At 35.7% G+C, this 23,004-nt stretch overlaps 1 protein-coding gene across 2 annotated transcripts in view, besides 1 other annotated feature; it reads right to left on the reverse strand.

Moving 5' to 3' along the window:
- C8orf88 (chromosome 8 open reading frame 88) overlaps positions 1–15,588 on the reverse strand; it is a 26,923-nt gene extending 11,335 nt beyond the window's left edge. Inside the window, exons 1-4 of one of the 2 annotated variants that reach the window (NM_001363275.2) lie at positions 15,180–15,588; positions 10,558–10,656; positions 8,774–8,847; positions 1,261–1,336 (exon numbers count right to left, since the gene is read on the reverse strand). In NM_001363275.2, coding sequence (NP_001350204.1) covers positions 1,261–1,336; positions 8,774–8,847; positions 10,558–10,630 — 223 coding nt within the window. In that variant the 5' untranslated portion in view covers positions 10,631–10,656; positions 15,180–15,588. The remainder of the gene's footprint in view (positions 1–1,260; positions 1,337–8,773; positions 8,848–10,557; positions 10,657–15,179) is intronic. The other variant, NM_001190972.2, reaches the window with a different exon arrangement.
- Positions 15,457–15,616: a silencer, noted in NCBI's record as "silent region_19354". NCBI's record gives its function as "represses an Ori minimal core promoter by ATAC-STARR-seq in GM12878 lymphoblastoid cells {active_cell/tissue: GM12878}" and the evidence as "EXISTENCE:reporter gene assay evidence [ECO:0000049][PMID:35858748]".

Here is a 23,004-nt window from a genome sequence, read left to right on the forward strand (position 1 = left end):
TTTTTTAAAAAAGAAACCAAAGGATTATAAAGGGATATCCCAAGATAATAACAAAAGTCCACTCCGGAAAAAAAGCTGCACATTAGTACTAAAGAACAACTAGTCCATATTGGAATAGGATAATGGAGTATTCTGAAAGGAATGTCCCATGTAAGGAAAAAAAGAACTGATATACTTGAGCATAAATAGTATAAAACAAGTGTGACAGAGTTGTTGGAGCATTTTAGTAAAAGAGTTAACAATAGATAACATAGAAAAATAAGGCAAACATTCGCTTTAGAAAAAACAATAAACTGTATGAAAAGGGAGATGTGCACCTCTTGGCTAAGCAGTTATATTTTACACAGTCATAGTAGTATAAAGAGTGAGTAACACTTTAATTGAAACTTGTGAAATAACTATGTGGTGGGGAGATGAAAAGGTGAAGAAGTGAAGAAACTGATGTGAAAGATGTAAGTTCTCATTTACCAAGATAAAATGTCAATATAAAGTTTTCAAAAATTAAGAAATTTGGAAATAATTGTATTTAGAAATATGAGGATAAATATTAGAAGAAAAAAATTAATGGTCTTTTCATACTTCAAACTTTTAAACTACATACATTAATTGACAAAAATTTGGAAACTAAAATCATTTTATTTTATTTTTAAAATAGCTAGTGTGGGAGAGACTATTGGTTCTCCCCTAGAGCAGTTTTTTCTTTTTGCTTCAGTAATAGAATTAACTGTATTGCTAAAGACTATGTTTCCCAGTCTACCCTGCCAGTAGGCAAAGTATGACCAAGTTCTGGCAATGTGATGTAAGTGGAAGTACTATGTGCAACTTCCGGGTCATACTCTTAAGGGAAACTTCCTTTCCCCTTTCCTCCTTCCTAATGGCTACACAGGAACATGATGGCAGGAGCAGAGGCAGTTATCTTGGGACCATGAGATGGAAGCCATGTGTTGAGGATGGCATAGCAATAAGATAACAGAACAGTGGGAAAATAGAAACTTCACAGGGCAAGATCATTACAACAGTTCAGAATTTTATGTGATATAGAAAACCTAGTAATAAACTCCTATCTTGTTTAAGCCATTGTATTCTGGTCTCTCCTTGAAAGCAGTCAAAGTGGTAGCCTGACTCATATAGATAGAAATCAATCAAAAAATATATAATAAAATTTCATATAAGTTTGCATCTAAGTGATAAAGTAATATTAACTTTATATGAATGCTAAGACATTCAATGATAAAATTGGGAATTATGATAAAATTTTACCTTTCTTAACTGGAGACTGCTGTTGCTGTTGCTCATTAAGACCTTGAGAAAAGGCTTGCATTCCATTCGTCTTACACTGTTAAACATGAAGAAAATAAACTTTTTAACTCAGGTTTTAAAATTTTATATAATTAGTTTAACTACCCAAAAATATTTTCCTAATAATAAATGCATTTAGTAGGAGCTAAGTAATAAGCAATCATTATAAGTCTGCTTATTTAAAATGAGCGACAAAAACATCTTTCAAAATATATTCACATATATCTACAGTTTTTTTGGCATTATTATAATTATTGTTGAAAAGGAATATAAAACTAAAGATGAATTTTATTGTCCTAAACATAAATAATTCCATAGCCATTAAAAGTATTTTTTCTTGACAAAAATGCCATTCAGAAAATTTAATTGATGAAAACAACACATTTTTATTCACAAAAATTCTGCAATAATACTAGAGTATTTACTTTTTTAATTTCTGAAGTAGAGACTGATGTCGCTTTATAAGCCCATGGACTGTTTCACCTAATGCCTTGGAAATAAGAGAAATAAGAAAAATTGATGTATCCAATGAGAGGAAGAAAATCAGAAACATTGGTAGAGCTCTATGTCTTGAAGAGAGACGCCTTAGTGCAGAGTTTTTCCAGTCTCACTTGCAAGACCATCTTTATGATAAGATTGGCTAAGCTAATCTGATGATATTTTAAAAATCCATTTTTACCTAAATCTTTTTCTTCTGATCCCATGCTCACCAAGACATACTCAGATTCAATTTAGCTTTCCATAAATCTCCCTAGAAGTAAACAATATACCAGCTGTACCAATAAGAGGAACCCAGAACGCAAGACATCAAGATTTCTCATTATAAAATAATTGGTGTTCTGATTTTATAAACCAGTTTTACAAACTTGGTTAATACTATCTACCCCTGAGAGATTATCTCCTCTTGTGCTGACAAAAATCAGTTTGTAAACCATCCCTGAATTAAGGTAAATCATGAAGGTAGGTTTCTTTGGAGACATCTATCCTTAAAAATAAATATCTCTGCTCCATCAATCATTGTATTGACAAGTTGTAAGCCATTCCTTAAATTTCTGTGAATGCTAACTACTCCACCTAAAGGCAGTAGGACTAATTATCTAATGCTATGACACAATAAAGTCTATGGAGATAATTCTACACTATTGAAACAAGAATGTAGAAAATTCTTGAAACAAGAATGTAAAAAGAAATCAAGTTTTAGTAGAGCTTTTTAAGTAGAGGAGAAAAAAATGGAAAATGCCTAAGATTTGGGTTCTCCAAAGTTCTTCTAGACTGTTGTATTTAATTAACTATAAAATGGTATTCTAAAAATTAAAAAAAAAAACAATTTCTTGCCTCCGGAAATTTTAGCAGATGCACATTTCACTAAGTGTGTAACATCTACTTAAATGCAAGATCTAAAATCAAACTTGAAGGTAAAATTGTACCTTGTCATGTCTGTACATATTAAAAACTTAAAATACTGATTATTTCAAATAATAGCATGTAAAAAGTACACCTACAAAAAGTTTTATACAGTGATTATCTATATGTTATCTCATTTAATTATAATCCTATAAGGAATAAGGCAAGTGCTATGATCACTATGTTATAGGTAAGGAAAATCAGACCAGAAGAGTTTGGTGACCAAGCCAAAAGTACACAGATAAGAAACAGCTGAGCTAGGTTTTGAAACTCAAGGCTACTATGTAAATTTGTGAAGGGTATGCATCTAAAGGGTTACCATTCACCACAGAAATGCTGTATATTTTCTAGCAGAGAGCAGCAAAGTATCTTACTCAAAAAAAAGAAAACTTGTATTTTTCTATAATTTTTCAATCCTCTTCTAATTCTTGCAAAGGTGCCAAATGTGTAGTAGTGGACCCGTTGAACTCATTCATTTAACAAACACAGAATGCCTATGACATGACAAGCACTGTGCTTTGTGTCAGGAAATACAAAGATGAACATGACATTCCAGTATCTGTTCTCAGAGACTCACAAACTAAAAGGCAGAAAAATAAAAGAGCAAATCATAATAAAATTTGAGAAGCTCTGTAATAAAGATATGCAGAAAGTACAATAAAAGGACTGAGTCAGGGTATCGAACTTGGCTTAGAAATGCCAGGAAAGGCTTTACATAGGAGATGATGCTTATACTGACTCTTGAAGGATCAGTAGGAGTTAGCCTGGCAAACTGATGAAAAATTAATGTTTATGGAATAAAGGAATAGCCTTGTACTGAAGAGCATGGGAAAATATGGCTAGTTCAGGAAATGTAAAAGGTTAAACAGAGGAGTAAAGCAGGATAAGCATCAAGTTTCTTATAATTTTATTCAAATCAAGTGCTCTTTGCAATGGCACAATTCCCCAATATGCATGCCCAGATTTTCTATTTAGACTTTTTGTATTTTTTTGAGACAGCGTCTTGCTCTGTCACCCAGGCTGGAGTGCAGTGCCGTGATCATAGGTCACTGTAACCTTGAACTCCTGAACTCAAGTCATCCTCCCAACTCAGCCTCCTGAGGAGCTAGGACTGCAGGCATATACCACCATACCCAGCTACTTTTCAAAAGTTTTTGTAGAGACAAGATCTTGCTACATTGCCCAGGCTGGTCTCAAACTCCTGGGCTCAAGTGATCCTCCCACCTCAGCCTTCCAAAGTGCTAGGACTACAAGTGTGAGCACCCCATCTGGCCCTTTTATATTCTATAGCAAGAATGTTCCCAGCCTCTTGTCACTCATCTTAAACAAATGTATACCACTCAGATCAGGAAAGAGAATAAAAGAGACAAATGCGTATCACTCTCCATTCCTAGAATGAAAAGTTAAAGTGTGAGATTTCTAGGCAATATCAAAAGACAAAAGGTAAACAGGAAAAAAAATTACAATTCGTATCTTAAATGGTTTCACCTAAAAGAGCTCCCAGGAAAACAATTTTTTAAAAAATAAAAAAGCCTATAGAAGAGAATGGGCAAAGGACAAGAAATGGTAACACAGAGGAGAGGAAATCCAAATGACTCTGAAACAGATCAAAATTAGCCACATATTCTTGATACTCTTCTCATCACGAGGTACACTCTGTATCTCCTTCACTTAAATCTTGGCAAAATCTATGACTGCTCCTACCAATATACATTTCAGAAGTGACACAGTGCTAGTTTCCAGTCCCAGATATTAAGAGACTGGCAACTTCTATCTCCTGTCCCTTTGAACATTAGTCTTGGAACCCAGATATAGTGTTATAAGAAGCCCAAGCCACTTGGAAAGGCCATTTGTAGGTGCTCATTCCAGTTCATAGTACCAGCTGAGCTCCAAGCCAATGGCCAGTATTAACTGACAGCCATGTGAGTGAGCCATTTTCATCATCCAGTCCAGTCAAGCCTTTAAGTGCTTCCTGTCCTCGATGCTATCTGACTGCAACTACATGACTACACTAAAGTGAGATAGGGCCAGCTCAGTCCAGTCATCCCAGGAGACCATGAAAGATAAAAATAAGCTATTGTTTTAAGCCAAAATTTTCAAATACTTTGTTATGAAGAAATAATGAAAAACAGGTTAAAGGAAGTTGTTCATAAAGAAAGATAATACCAGACAGAGCCATGGATTTACACAAAGAAATAAAAAGTTCTGGAAAGGCAATAAATGAAAGTAAAATAAAATTCTTTCTTTTAGTTTTTAAAGTTAAAAGACAACACAGAAAGAAAAAAAACATTAGTAATGATTGTGTGTTTACAGTCCAAACAAAAGTAAAATTATCATCATAATAAGCACAAGAATGTAAGGGTGGTCTCTACAAAAAAAGTTGCTAGATCTAATAATTGAGTTTAACAAAATCACTATAAAAAATCAATTATTTTTCTAAACTCTAGCAACCAACCAGTAAAATTTAAAATTTACAAAAAATACCATTTACAACAGTATCGAAATATCTGAAACACTTATAAATTTTATAAATGATGTTCAAAAGCCCTATGCTGGAAAATACAAAGAATCAAGGGATATGTCATGTTAATAGATCATAAGATGTCAATTCTTCCCATATTAATCTATAAATTCAATCAAAATGCCAATAGACTTTTTGTAGAAAATGACAAGCTCACTTAAAATTTATATGCAAATGCAAAAGACCTAGAATTGTAAAGATAAATTTTAGAAACGAAGTTAGTGACCTTTCACAACCTGGTTTCAAGACATCATAAAGCTACAGTAGACTATAAAGTGCAATATTGACATAAAGATAGACATAAATCAACAGATCATAATAGTTTTGAAATAAATTAATGCATGTATGATATACTGATTTTTCAATGAACTTTTGCAGTTCAATAATAAAAGGACAAACAACCCAAATAATAGAAATAGTCAAAAAGATATGAACAGACACGCCATCAAAAAAAATTTTTTTAAAGAAAGAAAAACGGAAAGAAAAACAGATGTCAAAGAAGTTCATGGTAAGATGCCAAATCTCACTAAACATTAGGAAAATGTTAATTTAAATACAATGAGATACCACTACTTACACACTAAAATGGCTAAAAATAAAAAGATTGACCATTCTAATGTTGGCAAGGCTGTGAAGCATCTGGAGCTCCCTCATATTACTGATGAGAAGGTAAAATGGCCACTTTGGAAAACATTTTATGATATCTTATAACGCTAAACAAACTTACTATATGATCTATCAATTCCACTCCTGGGTAGTATGTGTATTTCCACACAAAGATTTGTACATGATAGTCTATAGTAGCATTATTTATAATATCTAAAAACTAGATACAATCCAATGTTGTCAACTGATGAATAAACAAACTGTTGTATATTTAAAGTAGGACACTATTCCACATTAAAAAAAAAAAACAACTACTGATATATACAACATGAAAGGATCTCATAAACATAACGCTGAGCAAAAGAACCCAGCACCAAGGAATATACATGATATTTTTCATTTATATGAAACTCTAGAACAGTAAAAACTAACTTATCTATCATTAAAAGAAGCGGATCAGTGGATGTGTGGGGCAAGAAGGAGGGCAAGGGGTTAGTGTTAAGTGTAAGTGGTAAATTATTGCAAGGGGATATAAGGACATTTTGGAGGAAGATGGAAGATTTTCATTGTGGGGTTCATTACATAGCATAAATATTTCTCAAAAGTCATTGAACAAATGAGTTCACCTTACTATATGTAAATTATACCTCAATAAAGGTAGGTTTGAAAATATATCAAGTATCTCTAACATAGGTTCTAATAGCCTTTGCATTATAATTGAAGCAGCAGACAAAACTGTACGTTTAGAAGTAATTTAATTCATAATTTGATTTTTCTCTATAAAACTGCAATGTTAACATATTAATTTTTTACATATAAAGTGAAAGAAGGTCAATGGTTCCAAAAAGTAATGAATATTACTGTTGTATTTAATTAAGGAAATGTTAGCTGCTAGAACAAATACAACATTTCTATGACTTATAGAAAACTCATAATAAAGCCAGAGTAATTAAGACATCATGATATTGATTATACAGAGATACAAAAATGATCACTAGAACAGAATAAAGAGCCCAGAACAGATATATCTATATGAAAAATTATTATATAATTAAGATTCCACTATAAATCAGTGTGGAAAGGATGAATTATTCAATAAATTATGCTTTACAATCAGTTGCTTATAGGAGAAAAACTAGATTTCTATCTTACACCATCCAAAAAATCACCTTGAGGTAGACTACACACCTAAATATGAAAGCAAATCTTCAAAGCTTTTGGAAGAATATATAGAAAACATCTTTTAATTTTGGAAATGGGAAGACTTTTTAAAAGTGAAATCCTAAAGAAAAACATTGACAATATCACTACATTAATATTTAAAACTTTTAAACAAAAAATGCCACATAAAAAATGACTCTCTAGCAGACCATATTCCTGGAAAAGAAAATATTTTTATGCACATAAGAAAAATAATTAGAATCCAGAACATATTTTAAAGGCATATAAATCAAAAAGAATAAAATCCTGGAAAAATGGGATAATAATTTGCATTGGCAATTCACAAAAGAGGAGATCCAAATGGTCAAACTAGACATATGAAAAGATGCTCTACTTCACAAGTAATAGAGAATTAAAAATTAAAACCAACCAAAATATATAATTTCTCATCCTCTGTCTCACCCAATGTTCAAGTCTGACAATAGTAAGGTGAGGACATAGACAAATCAGAGCCCCTGTTCATACAAATCGCTTTGAAGAGTAATTTGGCAGTATCAAAAAGTTGAAATTAAGAATACTTAGTAATTCTACTCTAACTTTATGCCACAGAAAACTTCTCAAACATGTAAAAATGAAACATATAGATGGCAGTCACAATAGCATTTATTATAATATAGAAACAAGCGCCCATCAACAGAAAATGGAAAAAAAAATGTGGTATAGTCACATATATTAAAAGATTGTTCTATATCAGTTCATATTTAACTGCTTTATTCATTGTAAAGTTGCCTAGTATTCCATTTACAAATATACTTATGGTTGTGCATGCATAGTCTATTCCTGGATAAGAAATAGTATCTAGAGGCCAGGCACAGTGGCTCACGCCTGTAATCCCAACATTTTGGGAGGCCGAGGCAGGCAGATCACCTGAGGTTGGAAGTTCAAGACCAGCCTGGCCAATATGGTGAAACCCCATCTGTACTAAAAATACAAAAAAAAAATTAGCTAGGTGTCGTGGCGGGTGCCTATAATCCCAGCTACTCGGGAGGCTGAAGCAGGAGAATCGCTTGACCCCTGGAGGTGGAGGTTGCAGTGAGTCGAGATGGTGCCATTGCACTCCAGCTTGGGCAACAAGAGTGAAACTCCATCTCAAAAACAAAACAAAACAAAACAAAAGACAGAGAGAGAAAGAAATAGTATCTAGGTAAGAAACTGGTACAATGCATCTGGCTAAGAAACTGGTGCAATGCTTACTTCTGATCAGAGGAAATAGGAGACTGGGACAGAGACTGGAGGGAAACTTTTCAATAAATGTCATTTTGTATATTTTGAATTTTAAACTTTGTGACTAATTTACTTAGTCAAAAAATTAAAATTTGTAATAAAATGTTAAAGCAAAGATGACAAAATCCTATTTACATAAAACAAATAAAACAATTATATTTATCATAGCAAAAGTACAAATATATTCATGGAAAAAATAAATTGAGGATAGTTATCCATGGGCAGGACGGGAAGGAAATACGATGGTAGAAGCATATATATAGAGTTTGTAACTATATGTGAAGTTGTTTTTCTTTAAACTTTTTTAAAGCAAATATAGCAAAATGTTTAGACTTAAAAATGCTGGGTGACAGATAAATGGGTGTTACATTATCTTTAACATATGTACATAAATTTTTATAAAGTATATAAGCATAGTATCTGGCACACAATAGCCATCTAACACATGTTACTTTCCAATCTATAATATTTCCTTCTGTTATAATTTCTAAGACTTACTCTGCTAACTCCACTTTGTATGCACTGAGTGTTGCATGGATATTCGTTTTGAAAGTTGAAAGGGAACACTGCTCCTGTTAGGAGAGGAAGAAAACAATTTCATAGATCTATTATTTCAATAAATAATATAATCAACTAAAAAGCTTAAGTATCCAAGATATTCTTGGCACTGTTTTGAAATGTGTTCTGATAGTTCATTTATTCAACATTCATCCAACCTTATGAAATGTCAGATGCTGTGTTAAAAGGATGGACACACAAACATGAAAAGAGTTCAGAGATAAGAGTTCACAGTGTATTTTAAAAGACAAGTTCATACATAATGATTATAATACAATTTGATAAGCAGTATGCTTATTGAGAGATTTAGAGAAAGTACTAGGGCAAACGGAATAGGTTTGGGGTATCACATAGGTTTCACAACATGAAGTAATTAAATCTGAAACTGAATCTAAAAGAAAACGTAGTGATTCCTTTAGAGATCTGAGATGGCCAGGGAGTATGTAAGCGTGTTAAGAAACACCAAAATTAATTTCTGATTTACTAGACTTTTCTGCCTAATAATTCCCTACTCTGCGTCTGGATCTTAAGAAGGTACAACTAAATAAGATACCAGGGCTACCTGCCCACCTTGCATCCCCTCTCATTCTCATTCTTCCATGTAACAACCTTGGAGAGAAATCAGTGAAAAATTGGATCTGCAGAGATGAAGGGGGGTGGGAGTTGCTGGAGAAAGTCTGGTCACAGAAAAGAGCTGCTGCAATTGTTTTACATTCTTTCCTTTAGGATAAAATTTGAGACTTGACCCTACACAACCGCTTCCACTGCACCAGAAGTATACAGAATCAGCATTATTCAGCTATGGTCCCAGAAGATCCATTAATTTCATTTAGCTGACATAAGTCACAGGCATATTGAGAGCAAACATAACCAAAGTGGAGATTATCATCTTCCTTGAAGGATCCAATGATGGGAAAATGAACACAGGACAGAAACTGGTGCCACTTCTACCTTTTTTGCTTCATTTGTAAACTCAACAAAGTATCTATATTTTCCCATTTATAAGTAGTAATTCAGCTGAATACACAGACTAAGAAAAAGTTTAAAAAGTTATATGTGTATCACCTAAAGTAGACACAGAAGCCATTCTAGCAACAAGTAATGAACAGAATTAAAAGACTGATATTCCAATTTAGAAGTTAAATACCAGGTATTTCAGGAATTTCTCCAAAAGAATAGCTTCATGGGCAAAAGAAAAACATTTTAGAATGTTTAAAATAGATATTTTGAAATTAGACCTGTTCTAGTTCAAACACAGCCATAACCTCTATCAGAGCACAAGTATGACACAACTACTACAGAACCTTTAAGATTTGTGCTAATATTTTTTTTTTGGCATTTAGTTACGTACTTATTCTTTTAAAAGGTTAAATTCTCTCTCCAGCATGATTGCCCTGCAGTTATCATAATCACAGGGCACAGTTTGTACTGGGAGTATCACTCTGACCAGAAGCCAGAAGCCTACAAAAATGAGACATGAGAAAAAACACACACACAGAAAGTTACTTTCAGTCAAGGGTTATTCTTCCTACTTTTGTTGGTCTGGTAGATTATAGATTGGTAGGTAATTAAGAATCTTTCTCCTTCAGTAATACAAACTCTTAGTTTTCATTATTTCTTTAAATATCCACCTGAAACAATACTTTATATATTATTTAGCTTTTCAAATACTAATTAGTCATTAACACATTAATATTTAAAGAACTGTACAATCTATTACTCACCTGGGGGAGAAGTCAGATGACGAACAGGTCTTGCTGGTTGAAGCGGTTTACCAATTAATTTTTTGGTTTCCATTGTCACAAAGACTTTGAGGTTCCATACTAGAAGACAAAAAAATACATTTTTATCTTTTGGACAAAATAATCAAGATGCTTTACATGTATACAAATAACTACATCTTTTTTTAAGATGCCTATTTTACAAGTTAAAGTGGAAAACACAAACACAAAAAAGCATTTAATATGCAATACTCAGACTCCTTTTATAGCATTTGTCACAGTTAAACATTCCCTCTTTGAAACATTTTCTTTAACTTTACTGACTCTATATTTCTGTTTTTCTTTTCTTTTGAGGCAGAGTCTCACTCTGTCACCCAGGCTGGACTGCAGTGGCACAATCATAGCTCACTTCAACTTAAAGCTCCTGGGCTCAAGAGATCCTCCTGCCTTAGCCTTCCAAATAGCTGGGATTACAGGCATGAACCACCATGCCCAGCTAATATATTTTTTTTAAAGATGGGGTCTCACTATGTTGCCCCAGCTATGTTCTTTTGGTTTGTTTCCTATTTCTTCGATTGTCTCTTCTAACTTCCTTAGCTGATTCCTCTTCTTCTGTCTTTCTTCCGAATTTGGCTTTGGTCTTCTTAGCTAAAACTCATCTATGCTCACGGCTGCAACCTCCTATCTACATGATAAATATGCCCTAATTTATACTTCCAGAATCTACTTCTCTTTTAAACTCCAGTTCTATTTTTCTAATTGTCTAATAATATTTCAATTTATATATTATCACAGGTACCTCAAATTCAACATATCTAAAATCTAATTAATAACTTTAACTCCTGTATTCCTTTAAAGTCATCACCAACTCCCTTGGACCACACTTGGTAAAACTGCCTTCAATTTGATGGGCTAAATTAGAGCCTCTGATTCCAAAATCAGTCTTTAATTTCTGTTCACGCTACTTCCAAAATATTAATGTTATTTTGTTTCACCATATATTTGGACATTCAAGTGTTTTGTCTATAGTTCCCTTACTATCTCTGCTGCTCTTCTTCCAAACAGCTATTTATCTGTCAAGACCAAGATCAAGCTCTTGCCACTTCCTTGGAAAATATCCCCCTGTCTCAACAGGTAAGGTTAAATAAAATAGTCTACATGAAGTTCTCTAATAATAAAATAATAATAACAATAATAATAATTCCTCCTTCCTTACATTCCTCCTTCACTGGTCCCTACTGTATTTTATCACTTTTTCTAAAATATATCACAGTAAATATATTACATGTCTACTTATTGGACTATCAGTTAGTTGAGGCCACAAAAACCAGACCTTATTTATTTTTGTATTCTAGTATCTGCAACATAGATTTATTAAATAAACTCTATAAACGCTAAGTACCTCGTCATTGCAACTAAAATCTGACACCTGTATGGGACACAAGATTTCCAAATTTTGATGCCCATCAAGACAAAGTCAAAAATAAAACTCCACTTGATTTTGCACCTGCTTATCCAGAAATAATTGTAACCATATGATATTAAGCAAATCATAAGTCTAAGTGCCTATTTCACCAAGTATAAGATAGAGTTAGTAACCCTTTAAGTTCCCAGAAATGCTTTATCCTATTTTTTAAATATCTTTGGACATGTATAATTCAAATGTTAAAATTATAAACTTATAAACAACCTCTCAAAATTAGGAATGATAAGTAAGCACCCAAAAGTTACTATTTGGAGATAACCCAGCAAGTACTTCAAGTTAATACCAACCCAGCTTTGTAATGTGTCTGTTAGCTAGTATTTCAACGTGGCAAAACTAATGCTCTCTGTACTTTTTGTGCAATACAATTGGATATAACAAGATGAAAAAAAAGTTATAAGCACAAATAGAAAAAATACTTCAAATAAAGTTATTAATATTTTCTATGTAGAAGAGTATATTTAAAATAAGGACCAAAAAGCAACCTAATATACATTGCTTTATTTGATGTTTATCCTAGCTATTTTAGTTAAGACCCTAATACTAGTATGTAGTAACTTTCCATCCTGTTCCCCATATGAAACTAGTGAATCAGAATACAATAGGATAGAGTACTTTGGCACACACTTCGTTGTTTTTCATTGCTCAGCTGAAATTTAGTTGTAGGTTGTTAAGTCTTTTCCAATCGCTGAGCAAGGCAAATCCACAGTATTCAAACTAGGGATTTTCAAGAGTTGGGGATTACAGAACTCCATTATATGACTTTGCAACACAAGTAAATAAACAAAAAATCAAAGCTCTTTTGGTGCCACCTACCCTTCAATTTACAGTAGGAAAGATACAGCAATGGCTCCCTGTATATAAATCCACATCAGTTAAGGAAATTAGAAAAGATGGTGTCATTCAGTACTCTGTTTAATATTTTTTTTTAAAGTAAACGATGCCTGCAGGGAAACACTGACATTATAGGGGACAAGTTTGGGATTACAATGCATAGTACATTCCACCATCATGTTATTAATGAAAAAGGTTAAGTATTTATAAAAAGTAATTATTATTGTAAAACTGAGTCACGAGATTATAATTAAGGCAGAACTCCATAAACCAAAACCTAATTCTCAGTTTAGTTAAAAATAATAAAGACTTAACTGCACTACAAAGTCATTATACAAAACAAATTCAGTCTTAAACTCTAATGCCTGCTTCATCCATGGAATGTAGAGATCAAAAAGTTTCCCTTGAAGCTACTGGTGCTACCTAGAGTAGCCATGTATCATATCAACGATTCAAAGCACAGTTACAAAATAAACAGAATTCTGCCTACAACATTGGGTAGCAAGTAGTGGGCCTATCATAAGGTTGTAAAATGTAAATTTAAAAATGTAAATGTATAGTTTTGTGGTATAAATGTTTTTTAAAGGATATTTTGATCCAATGTCTCCAAAAAAACTTTCTATTAATACATACTGAGAAATGGTTGCTGAATAGTTTTTTTCAAGATCACACACACTTAACAAATCATCTTTAAAGACCAAGTTGTATGAATAGAATATTGGTAAATCAGTTAGTTATTTACAGTTGCTATTCTACACCTGGCAATACTAACTATATCTTAGGTTCCTTTTCTTTTTAAAAAATTTACCTAAGTATGAATCTTCAGGCCTTATCAGTCCTGATATTACCAGTAAACCTAGAATTGTCTAAAATACAATGGGATAATAAGCAGATACATTGACCACTTTGGCCAAAATCTTATTAATCTTATTTTTTAATTAAGATGCCTTTTTAAGGTCCTACTACATACTAAATATAATTTCATTTAATTTTGAGCCATATATGAACGGTGGAAGAAAATTATTATTAGTCCCACTTCACAGATAAGAAACCTGAGGCTCAGAAAAATAAGAGACATGCCCAAGTCCACATAGCTACTAAGTGCTAGATATTAGGATTTGACTACAAAGTTCACACCTTTATATCAAAACTTGCCTATTTGTTACATAAAAGAAAGATATCTGACTGTCCATTTATTACATGTGGACACTGCGTGTATAGATTTAAAAATTAATGTGAAAAGTAACATTTATTTATAAGGCCATGCAGAATAAATTGGTATATGCTAATAATATCCATTTCTTCAATTTACCATTTTTCTTAGAATACTAAATAAATTAGGGAGTACTGTGCTTTCCTCACGCTACAGACATGGTATACTGCCATACTAACCATAGATCACAGCATATGAAATATACTATGCACTGTTTTTAGAAGCTGAGTACTATACTTAAACTCCAATATAAATTCTAGTCTTCTTTGGAAAGTACTGATGCTACCGCTGCCGTTGAGAAATAAGATCATATAAAGTGAAATAATGAAATGAAAAGACCATATTTGAATTTACCTTGTGTATAATTCCCATATGATAACCAGATAAAATTTCATCTCAATTTCCAACTTCAAAACATTACAAAGTTAGGATTCCTTGAAACCCAATACTGCTTGTAAGTAAACTGCTCACACTGACAAAATGATAGATGAAGAGAAACATACAGGAAACATCGGGGAGTAAGAAATAAACCACCTATGACTCAAGTGGTGAAAGACATTTCACGTTCCATATATCTGGTTGCACTATTAAGGAAAAATTAAAACGAAAATATCAAAAAACTAGAAGCTTGGAGAGTTCCAACATATCTTCCATTTCATGCCTTCTCTTTATAACTAATTTAATTTTTTTTTTGGTCTATTTGAGGGATTTCTCAAAACAAAACACAATTTAACATTCGGATGGGCTAAAGCTGTCCAGGTAATAGGTGTCTGTGATTACTTTAGTCATGTAACTGTCCTTTCCGTAGCTTTGACTAAAACACCAGCAATGAAAACCTTGTGCCACCGGGTGGAGGGGGCAAATCGTCTTGAAAGCCTCCCACCGCCTGGCACCAGGTGCTGGGGCAGAGCCAAGGGGAGCTGTGTACTTAGCTCCTTTTTTGGCGATGGCTTTGGTCTCGGCCACTTGCCCCTCCGTCGGGCTCCCCTGGCCCCCTACACTTTCTTTCCCCTCATCCGACGCTCTCGCTCCCATCCCACTCCCATTCAGGGTCCACAGGGTACTGAAGGGGCCCTGAGAGATTTCCCGACCCACCTCAGAGCTTCTCTTCCTCGCCTCAACTTTCCCGGGGTCGGGCCTGGGAGACGGCGCCCACCCGCCTCCTCCACACCACGGGGCCCGACTTCCGTCCCCCAGTGTCGCTCATCCTCCCTAGCCACTTACCGACTCAAAATCCACGGGGATTTCGGGGCAGCAGCGTCGCCGCGCTCAGCCCACACGCGGAGGCCGAGCGCCCTGCTGCCCGTCGGGGAACGGCTCCTGCCGCTGGTCCGCTGGCTGACCGCGGTGGCGGCGGCGGGGGGCGAGGGGCGGGGGGCGAGGGGCGGGGGGCGGGGCGGGAGGCGGCTCCGAGGGGCACGAGGCGGGCCCAGGGCGGGCGCGGGGCGTGGCCTCGGGCGCTGAGCCTCGAGAGCAGCCGCACCCCTGCCGGGGTAGAACCGTTAAAAGGGTGGCGCGCGCTTTCCCGGGCGAGCTGGGCGCGTGGGGTTGGAGCGGCGCCACCCAGAGCCGGTCGTCTAGGGTAGGAGGCCGCGAGTGAGGCGCTGACAGGCTAGCCCTCGACGGGGCGCGCCCGCGTGAACGGCCTTGGGGGCCCCAGACCGTGGCCCTGCTTGTGCGAAGACTGGGAGGCGCCAGGCGGGCCGCCTGCTGGGGGCTTGGCGGCGGGTTCCAGGCAGCGTCTGTGAGGGAGGCCGCCTCTGTGAGGGAGGCCGCCGTCGTGCTGACGACTGAGTCCACCCTACTCCTGTCCCCCGTCAGAGCTGCTGGCAGGCGCTGCTTTCCCCTTGGTGCATTTAGTGGGTGTCGGGATTCGGGTTGGCAGGGAGGAAGATGTTTGAGACCTGGTTTACCTCAGACCAGGGATACAGCGTTTCACACAGACTGCCATCCTGAAAGGAACAAAATGAATTAAGGCAACTCCATCCGAATCATTTCTTTTTAATCTTCACCTTCAATCCTTTTGCTAATTTTTCATTATCTTTGAGTGTCCCCAGAGGGGGACTGTCTGCTTGTACTGAGGGACGTGGAGGTGGCAGTCCCTCACGTCCCCAAGCACCAAAAGGACAGTTGAAAATGCACTGGCAAACACTGAACGGTTTTAAGTGGGGCACTATCAGGATTTACCATTTTGGAAGGTATGAAGTTTCACAAGCACTTCCATGTATAGTCAAGTTATTGGAGCTGTCTCCGTTTAGAAATGGCTTCCAGAAACACTCCTACTATCCACTGAGACAACTCGCCTGGCATCAGAGACCTAGGGTCCAGGGTCAGAGATGGGTCATGATAAAAGGGCATCCCTTGGGGTGAGGCACCAGAAGTCTGCACAGTGGAATCAATATATTCCAACCACCAGATGTAGAAAATCTTAAGTGCAGGATGTGGTTCTCATCCATCTAGTCACAACAGAAGTTTTCTTCTTCAGGAATATACTTAACAATGAAGCATGTATAATTTTATATACATCTTACAATAAAATTATTTTGTGCATATCACTGTATGAAGTCAGTAGAAACTATTGTGACAAAAATGTAAATTGGAAGAATTCCAATTCAGATCAGTATTAGTAATTTATTGAGAGGAAGAGAGAAATTAGACTAGACAGACTCCTTGATTTTTTGATAATTGAGGAAGAAAAATGAACCATATAAACATATCGAAACTTTTCAAAATCTTATTGATAATGACATAAAATTTTGGCATCTACAAGGATAATCTAGAATTCATACCTTTACAACAAGAACTTGACAACAAACAGGTTAATGACTTTTAGCAACTTAAAGGTTAGTCACTGCCTGAGAAAACTTGAAGTGCCCTGAAATCACAGAGTTCACCTAAGAACCTTAAGATGAGTTTCCCCAAATTTAGCAATACTAAAAATTGGCATTATTACCAATAACAAATTGTGAAACTGCAATAACTTTTTTAAGCTTTCAATAACAAAAAATACATGTTGACTAACTTTGCTTTGAAAAGACTACCACATTATTCATTATCACCAGGGAAAGTGCATTACAAAATTACTGTCAAATGATGAGGCAATAAAAAAATGAAAACTAAAAATATAGGAAAAACATAGCAATGGTTCAGGTAGTTAATTTAAAATATCATTTTACTGAATTTCTAAAATATTTGTGGTATTTATCATCTTTTTAAAAATCTGTAATTTGTTGTCACTGATTTTCTTATTCTAAGTAAATATTTACTTTGGTCACCGCCCCCCATCCCTGCTTCCTGCCCTGCTCTGGCCACTCAAAGAATTGGAGAATGGATTGAGAAAAAGCAACAGTGGAAATAGATATCCCAGTTAGAAGGATAATAATTTATAATGTGTCTTACTACTTATAAGTAGAGGTTTTATTTAAACTTATATTTTCATATTTTATTTAACTCCACTTTCACAGTACCTAGAACTACACACACACACATACAAACTGGTTACTTGATCTCATGGTATGTGCTGTTTAGTGAGGGTGCAGATATGCAAACAGACAATTTCAACTCAGTAAATTAATTGTTAAATCTGGGTGGTGCCACTGAAAGCCTGGCAACTCAGAAAGCTGAAGAGGTAGCATTATCTCATGTTTACCAAATGATTTCCTTGCCAACCTCCTGCCAATAGTCGCCTTTTATTCATTTATTCCTCAAACATTTACGAAGCATTTTATGAAGGATACACTAACAAACACACAACACAGATGCTCATAATTATTATAGGAATGTGTTAAAACAGTGGTCCCCAACATTGTTAGCACCAGGGGCTGGTTTCGTGGATGACTGGAAGGGCGGGGTATGGTTTTGGGATGAAACTGTTTCACCTCAGATCATCAGGCATTAGATTCTTATAAGGAGCACACGACCTAGATCCCTCGCATGTGCAGTTTACAATAGGGTTCACACTCCTATGGGCCACTGTTGATCTGACAGGCAGCAGAGCTCAGGCAGTAATGCCAGCAATGGGGAGGGGCTGTAAATGCAGATGAAGCTTCAGTCACTCACCTGCCACTCACCTCCTGCTGTGTGGCTTGTTTCCTAACAGGCCAATGACCAGTACCAGTCTGGGGTCTGGGGGAGGGCAGTGGTTAGAAACCCCTGTGTTAAAAGCTATAATAATGACTTAGTTTCATTCAGCTCAGTTCAGCTCAGCAAAGGTTTTGAAGACCTATGTTTATGTGCTAGAAACTGAGGATACAAAGACAAACTGAAATACGACGAGAAAGGCTGATACACACTGAGGTTACAAAGAAAAACTGAAATATGATGAGAAAGGCTGATGCAAAATTAGCAAGAAGAGAACGCTAGCTTAATAATAGTGCCTATATATGAAATAGAAGATAGTATATGTAGTAGAAATGTTTACGTGGAATAAAAGAAGGACTACATGGAAAGGCATACTTCTGTTGAACGGTAGGAGGATGGAGAAGAGACATCACGAAAGGGTTCACAGGGGAGGTAATGCCTGAGCAGGATTTTTAAGGATAAAACATTTACCCACTTAGAAAAGGGTATTCCTTGCAGGTGAAAGAACAAGCCCAGAGATATACAGGAATAGAGCAGCAGCCAATAAAATAAAACATCAGTAATTCAGTACTGCAGAAACACAAAATACAAGAGACTGCCTGGTAGTGGCTTGATATTAGGCTAATAAAAGATGAAGTGTCTTTTATCTCCTTTATAAGGATATGGAGAGACACTGAAGGATTTTAGTTTGGGTTTAATAGTATTCTATGACCATTTGGGAAAAAATTACTTAAATGACAACATGAAAAATGGATTGGGAAGCAGAGTAGGCATCAGGCAAGACAAGAAGAGAGGCAGAGGAATCGGTTCAGAGGTTTACAGTAATCCAGGCAATGTTTATTGAGAGCCATAAGTAAAGGTAGATAGTGACCATAAGGAAAGAAAAGTACACATAGCTGAGAGAATAAGGAAAACTGCTAACAGTGTAGAGTGTGAGAGTGGAAAGTGGAAAATAGTGATGCCAGTTATTGACTTGCGCACCCAGAGCGATACAGGAAAAAAATAAAAAGATACTGTGATTTGCCTGAGGAGGCACAAGAGAATGGGATCTAGATTGTAGGTGAAGGGAAGGGACAAAAGCAAGAATAGGTGAAGTAGAGATTATCCAGTATAAGTGGAAGGGGTCTACTGTGGAAAGCAGTAGGACTTTCAAATTTTGAGATAGCATTTCTGGGGAATGTTCACCTGAAAACAGGTGAACACTGTTGAGGAGTCAGCTGAAGGTGAAGATCAGAAATTTATAAAGGCATTTACCTGCGTGGTTGTGAGATTCATTGGCAAATAAAGGAAGGGATGATAAATTGAAAGAATAATAAACCTGAAGTCCTCACAGTGTGAGACTTCCGGACAGAAGAGGTATATTTTCAAAGAGGTGTATTTTCAGACAGTGGGATAACTGAGTGTGAGAGTTGAGATGGAGTGGTTCTGAGTATAACCACCCAGCATGCCGCTGTAGAGGTGAATACCAGAAGTGAAAGGAAAATAAAGGTCATTAGACTTGACGAAGAACTGTGAGTCCAGACTGCAGTATTAGATAAGCCATTCACATTGACATTTAAATCAGTGGCATGTGATAAGAATAAAAACCAGGTACTGAAGTCTGCATTGGTGAGGAGGGAGTTAAAGGAGATCTGTGGATGGCGGATGGTAGGTAGAAGGGAAAGTTTATAAAGGAGTTAGGCAGGTACATAGGAAGAAACCAGAAAAAAAAAACACATGGCCTTACATAAGCTAGGGAATTCTCCACGTTTCCTAAACTCTTTCTTGAGGCTTAATAACTAATAAAAACTTAATGCATTTTGGCCAGGTGCAGTGGCTCACGCCTGTAATCCCAGCACTTTGGGAGGCCGAGATGGACGGATCACGTGGTCAGGAGGGCAGGACCATCCTGGCTAACACAGTGAAACCCCGTCTCTACTAAAAATACAAAAAAATTAGCTGGCCATGGTGGCGAGCGCCTGTAGTCCCAGCTACTCAGGAGGCTGAGGCAGGAGAATGGCATGAACCTGGGAGGCGGAGCTTGCAGTGAGCCGAGATTGCGCCACTGCACTGCAGCCTGGGCAACAGAGTGAGACTCCTTCTTAAAAATGTAAATAAATAAAATAAAATAATTAAAAAAATAAAAAATGTAATGCATTTTCAAGATTATTTAAATGTCCACTATCTTAAGCCAAAGGTATATCTCATGTGGAAATATGAGATACTGAGGCAAGGTTTTTCAGAAAAATTTATTGGAACACTGGGAACTTTTCCATAACTCTGTATATCCTACCATTATTACCTACACCTATCAACAGGCCACCCAGGGCATTCAAAATTTCATAAGAGCAATGTGTGCGATCACTTCCTATTTAATAAGTTACCTTAAATAACTCTTAGTTACAAAATTGAAAAGACTGTTAGATCAAAGACTCTCATTTACTGTATTACAAACTAGACCTACTTCTTAAATCTTTGGCCTGATCTGATCCTTACTCTGTGAGGCCGTCCCCAAAAGAAAACAAATAGGCTCTTTATTTCTCTGTTTTTAATCTAATATTCCACTTCAAGTCAAACATATGCATGTTTAGCAAAATATAAAGAACATAGTATTTATTTAAATGTGTAACTGCATATGTAAAACAAATTTTAAAATTAAAAGCCTGTACAAATTTTTATTAGCATTTTGTGCTAACAAATCATTTTCATAAATATTGCAATTACAAGAAAAAGAAAATACAATTGTTATTTAAAACTCATCGCATGTCAATTTCCTCATATTTAATAGAAAATACTTCTGACTGGGTGCATATGCCTTTAATCCCAGCAGCACTTTGGGAGGCCGAGGCAGGCGGATCGCTTAAGCTCAGGAGTTCCATTCCAGCCTGGGCAACATGGCGAAGCCACTTGTCTACAAATACAGAAAAGAAAAAAAAAAACTATCCGGGCATGGCGGTGCACCTGTAGTCCCGGTTATTCAGGGGGTCAAAGTGGAAGGACTTCTTGAGTCCCAGAGACCGAGACTGTAGTGATCGAGAGGTTGAGTCTGCAGTCAGCCCTGAGATTCTGCTTCTGCACTCCAGCCTGGCTGACAGAGTGAGACCTTTTTTCAAAAAAAAAAAAAGAAAAAAAAAATATTTTTACTTAGCCTTCCTATAATTTTATGCTAATTATAAAAAAGAAAATACATGTAATAATATTTTGCTACATAAATCAAAATGCTCTAAAATTAATGTAGTTGGATATAATATCAAATTCATTAAAAATTTTAAATTATTCTATGCTTTTGAAATGACTATTTTGGGCAAATATTTTCTAATAATTCTCTTTCTACAGATGACCTACAGACAATGAACAGCAGAGGGCACAAAAATCAAAAGTTTTTCACTACAAAGTGAAATAATAAAACCTTATGTAGTGGAAAGCAGACACATTTCAGAAGCAGACAGACTGATTCCATCTGGCTTCCTCACATATAAGCTAAGTGACCTTTAATTATTGAATCTGTCTTAGCCTCTTCAATGGTAGAATAATAACTGTGACAGACTAAATGTTAACATACGTAAGGTGGCTACATAAACACTAGGGCTTTTGTCTTCATTGCTTATTACATATGTATGTATGAGCATACCAGAAACATACATTGAATAAATGAAAACTTAGATTTTATAGCAATTTATGCAGATCATAAACAGGGAAATGGCTGTAGAGGTTTATCATAGCATATGAGTGCAGGTATAGCCATATCAAAACTAAACAAAAGCTAAACAAAAGGTGCACCAATATCTCATAAATCACCACTAAAGAACTTACTCATGTAACCAAATACCACCTGTACCCCAATAACTTATGGGAAAAAAATAAAATAAAATAAATCACAGCATTTTTCTGTATGTGAAAATATGAATGCCAAAGTGGATATAAACACGTAATAATATTTTCTACATGGTGTAGTAGTGTTTCTTCTTCTCCAGGTGTGATCCAGGAAAAATCTCCAATAGAATCATGAGGGAGTGATTGTTTTGAATGCAGATTCCTGTCCTACTCAGCATCTACTTTTTCAGATCTGTGGGAGCAGCAGTTCAATTTCCTCTGGTAAAATAGAAACAAGAATGCTGTACTTGCTTCCTAGGTTCTTGTGAATATTTAAACAGCATGTATTGTGAGGTTAGCACTCTACTTGGCACATATCAAGTTTCCTTTTTTCTTCTAAAATAACATATATGTACTCACAAATGACTTGTTCAAGAATACCTGGTCATGGTGCCATTTTTCTCTTTTCTAAGAAGAACTAAGGCAATTTTTGCTACTTTGAACAGCAAGGGACAAACACATCATTCCTTTTCTGATTCATGGCTATGGTGTATTCTTTCAAATAACCTCTTCCCAGTTATTTTCTATGCTCCCTAGGCACTGGAAGACATGCTCTACTTAAAAAAGCAAAACAAAACAAAATAACAAAAGACAACACTGAGTATAAAGTTTCATAAATTTGAATTTAATTAATTAAAAATTTTAGGTAACTCACATAGGGCTAAGCTTAAATATATATTCTCTGACTTTAAAGCTTAAGGTTTTATCAATGACCGTCATTGGTTTGGATTTTAATAAACTCATTTTAAAACTTTTCAAGAATCAAAATGAAAATTAACAAATATTGATGTAATCATCATATACTACTATTATCTATTCATCAAGAGTAAAACCTACTTTCCAACAATCTAGTTCAAAAATAAAGTAAAAATAATTTCTCTCTCTTCACCCAGAGATAACCACTCCTAATATTTTTGGTTTATTTTCCTTAGTTTTTTTCAGTATGTACACATAAAATACATTTTCTAAAATGTGGATCATATTCTAT

The sequence above is a fragment of the Homo sapiens genome, chromosome 8, assembly GCF_000001405.40.
Source record: "Homo sapiens chromosome 8, GRCh38.p14 Primary Assembly".
In the NCBI taxonomy this organism is placed as follows: Eukaryota; Metazoa; Chordata; class Mammalia; order Primates; family Hominidae; genus Homo; species Homo sapiens.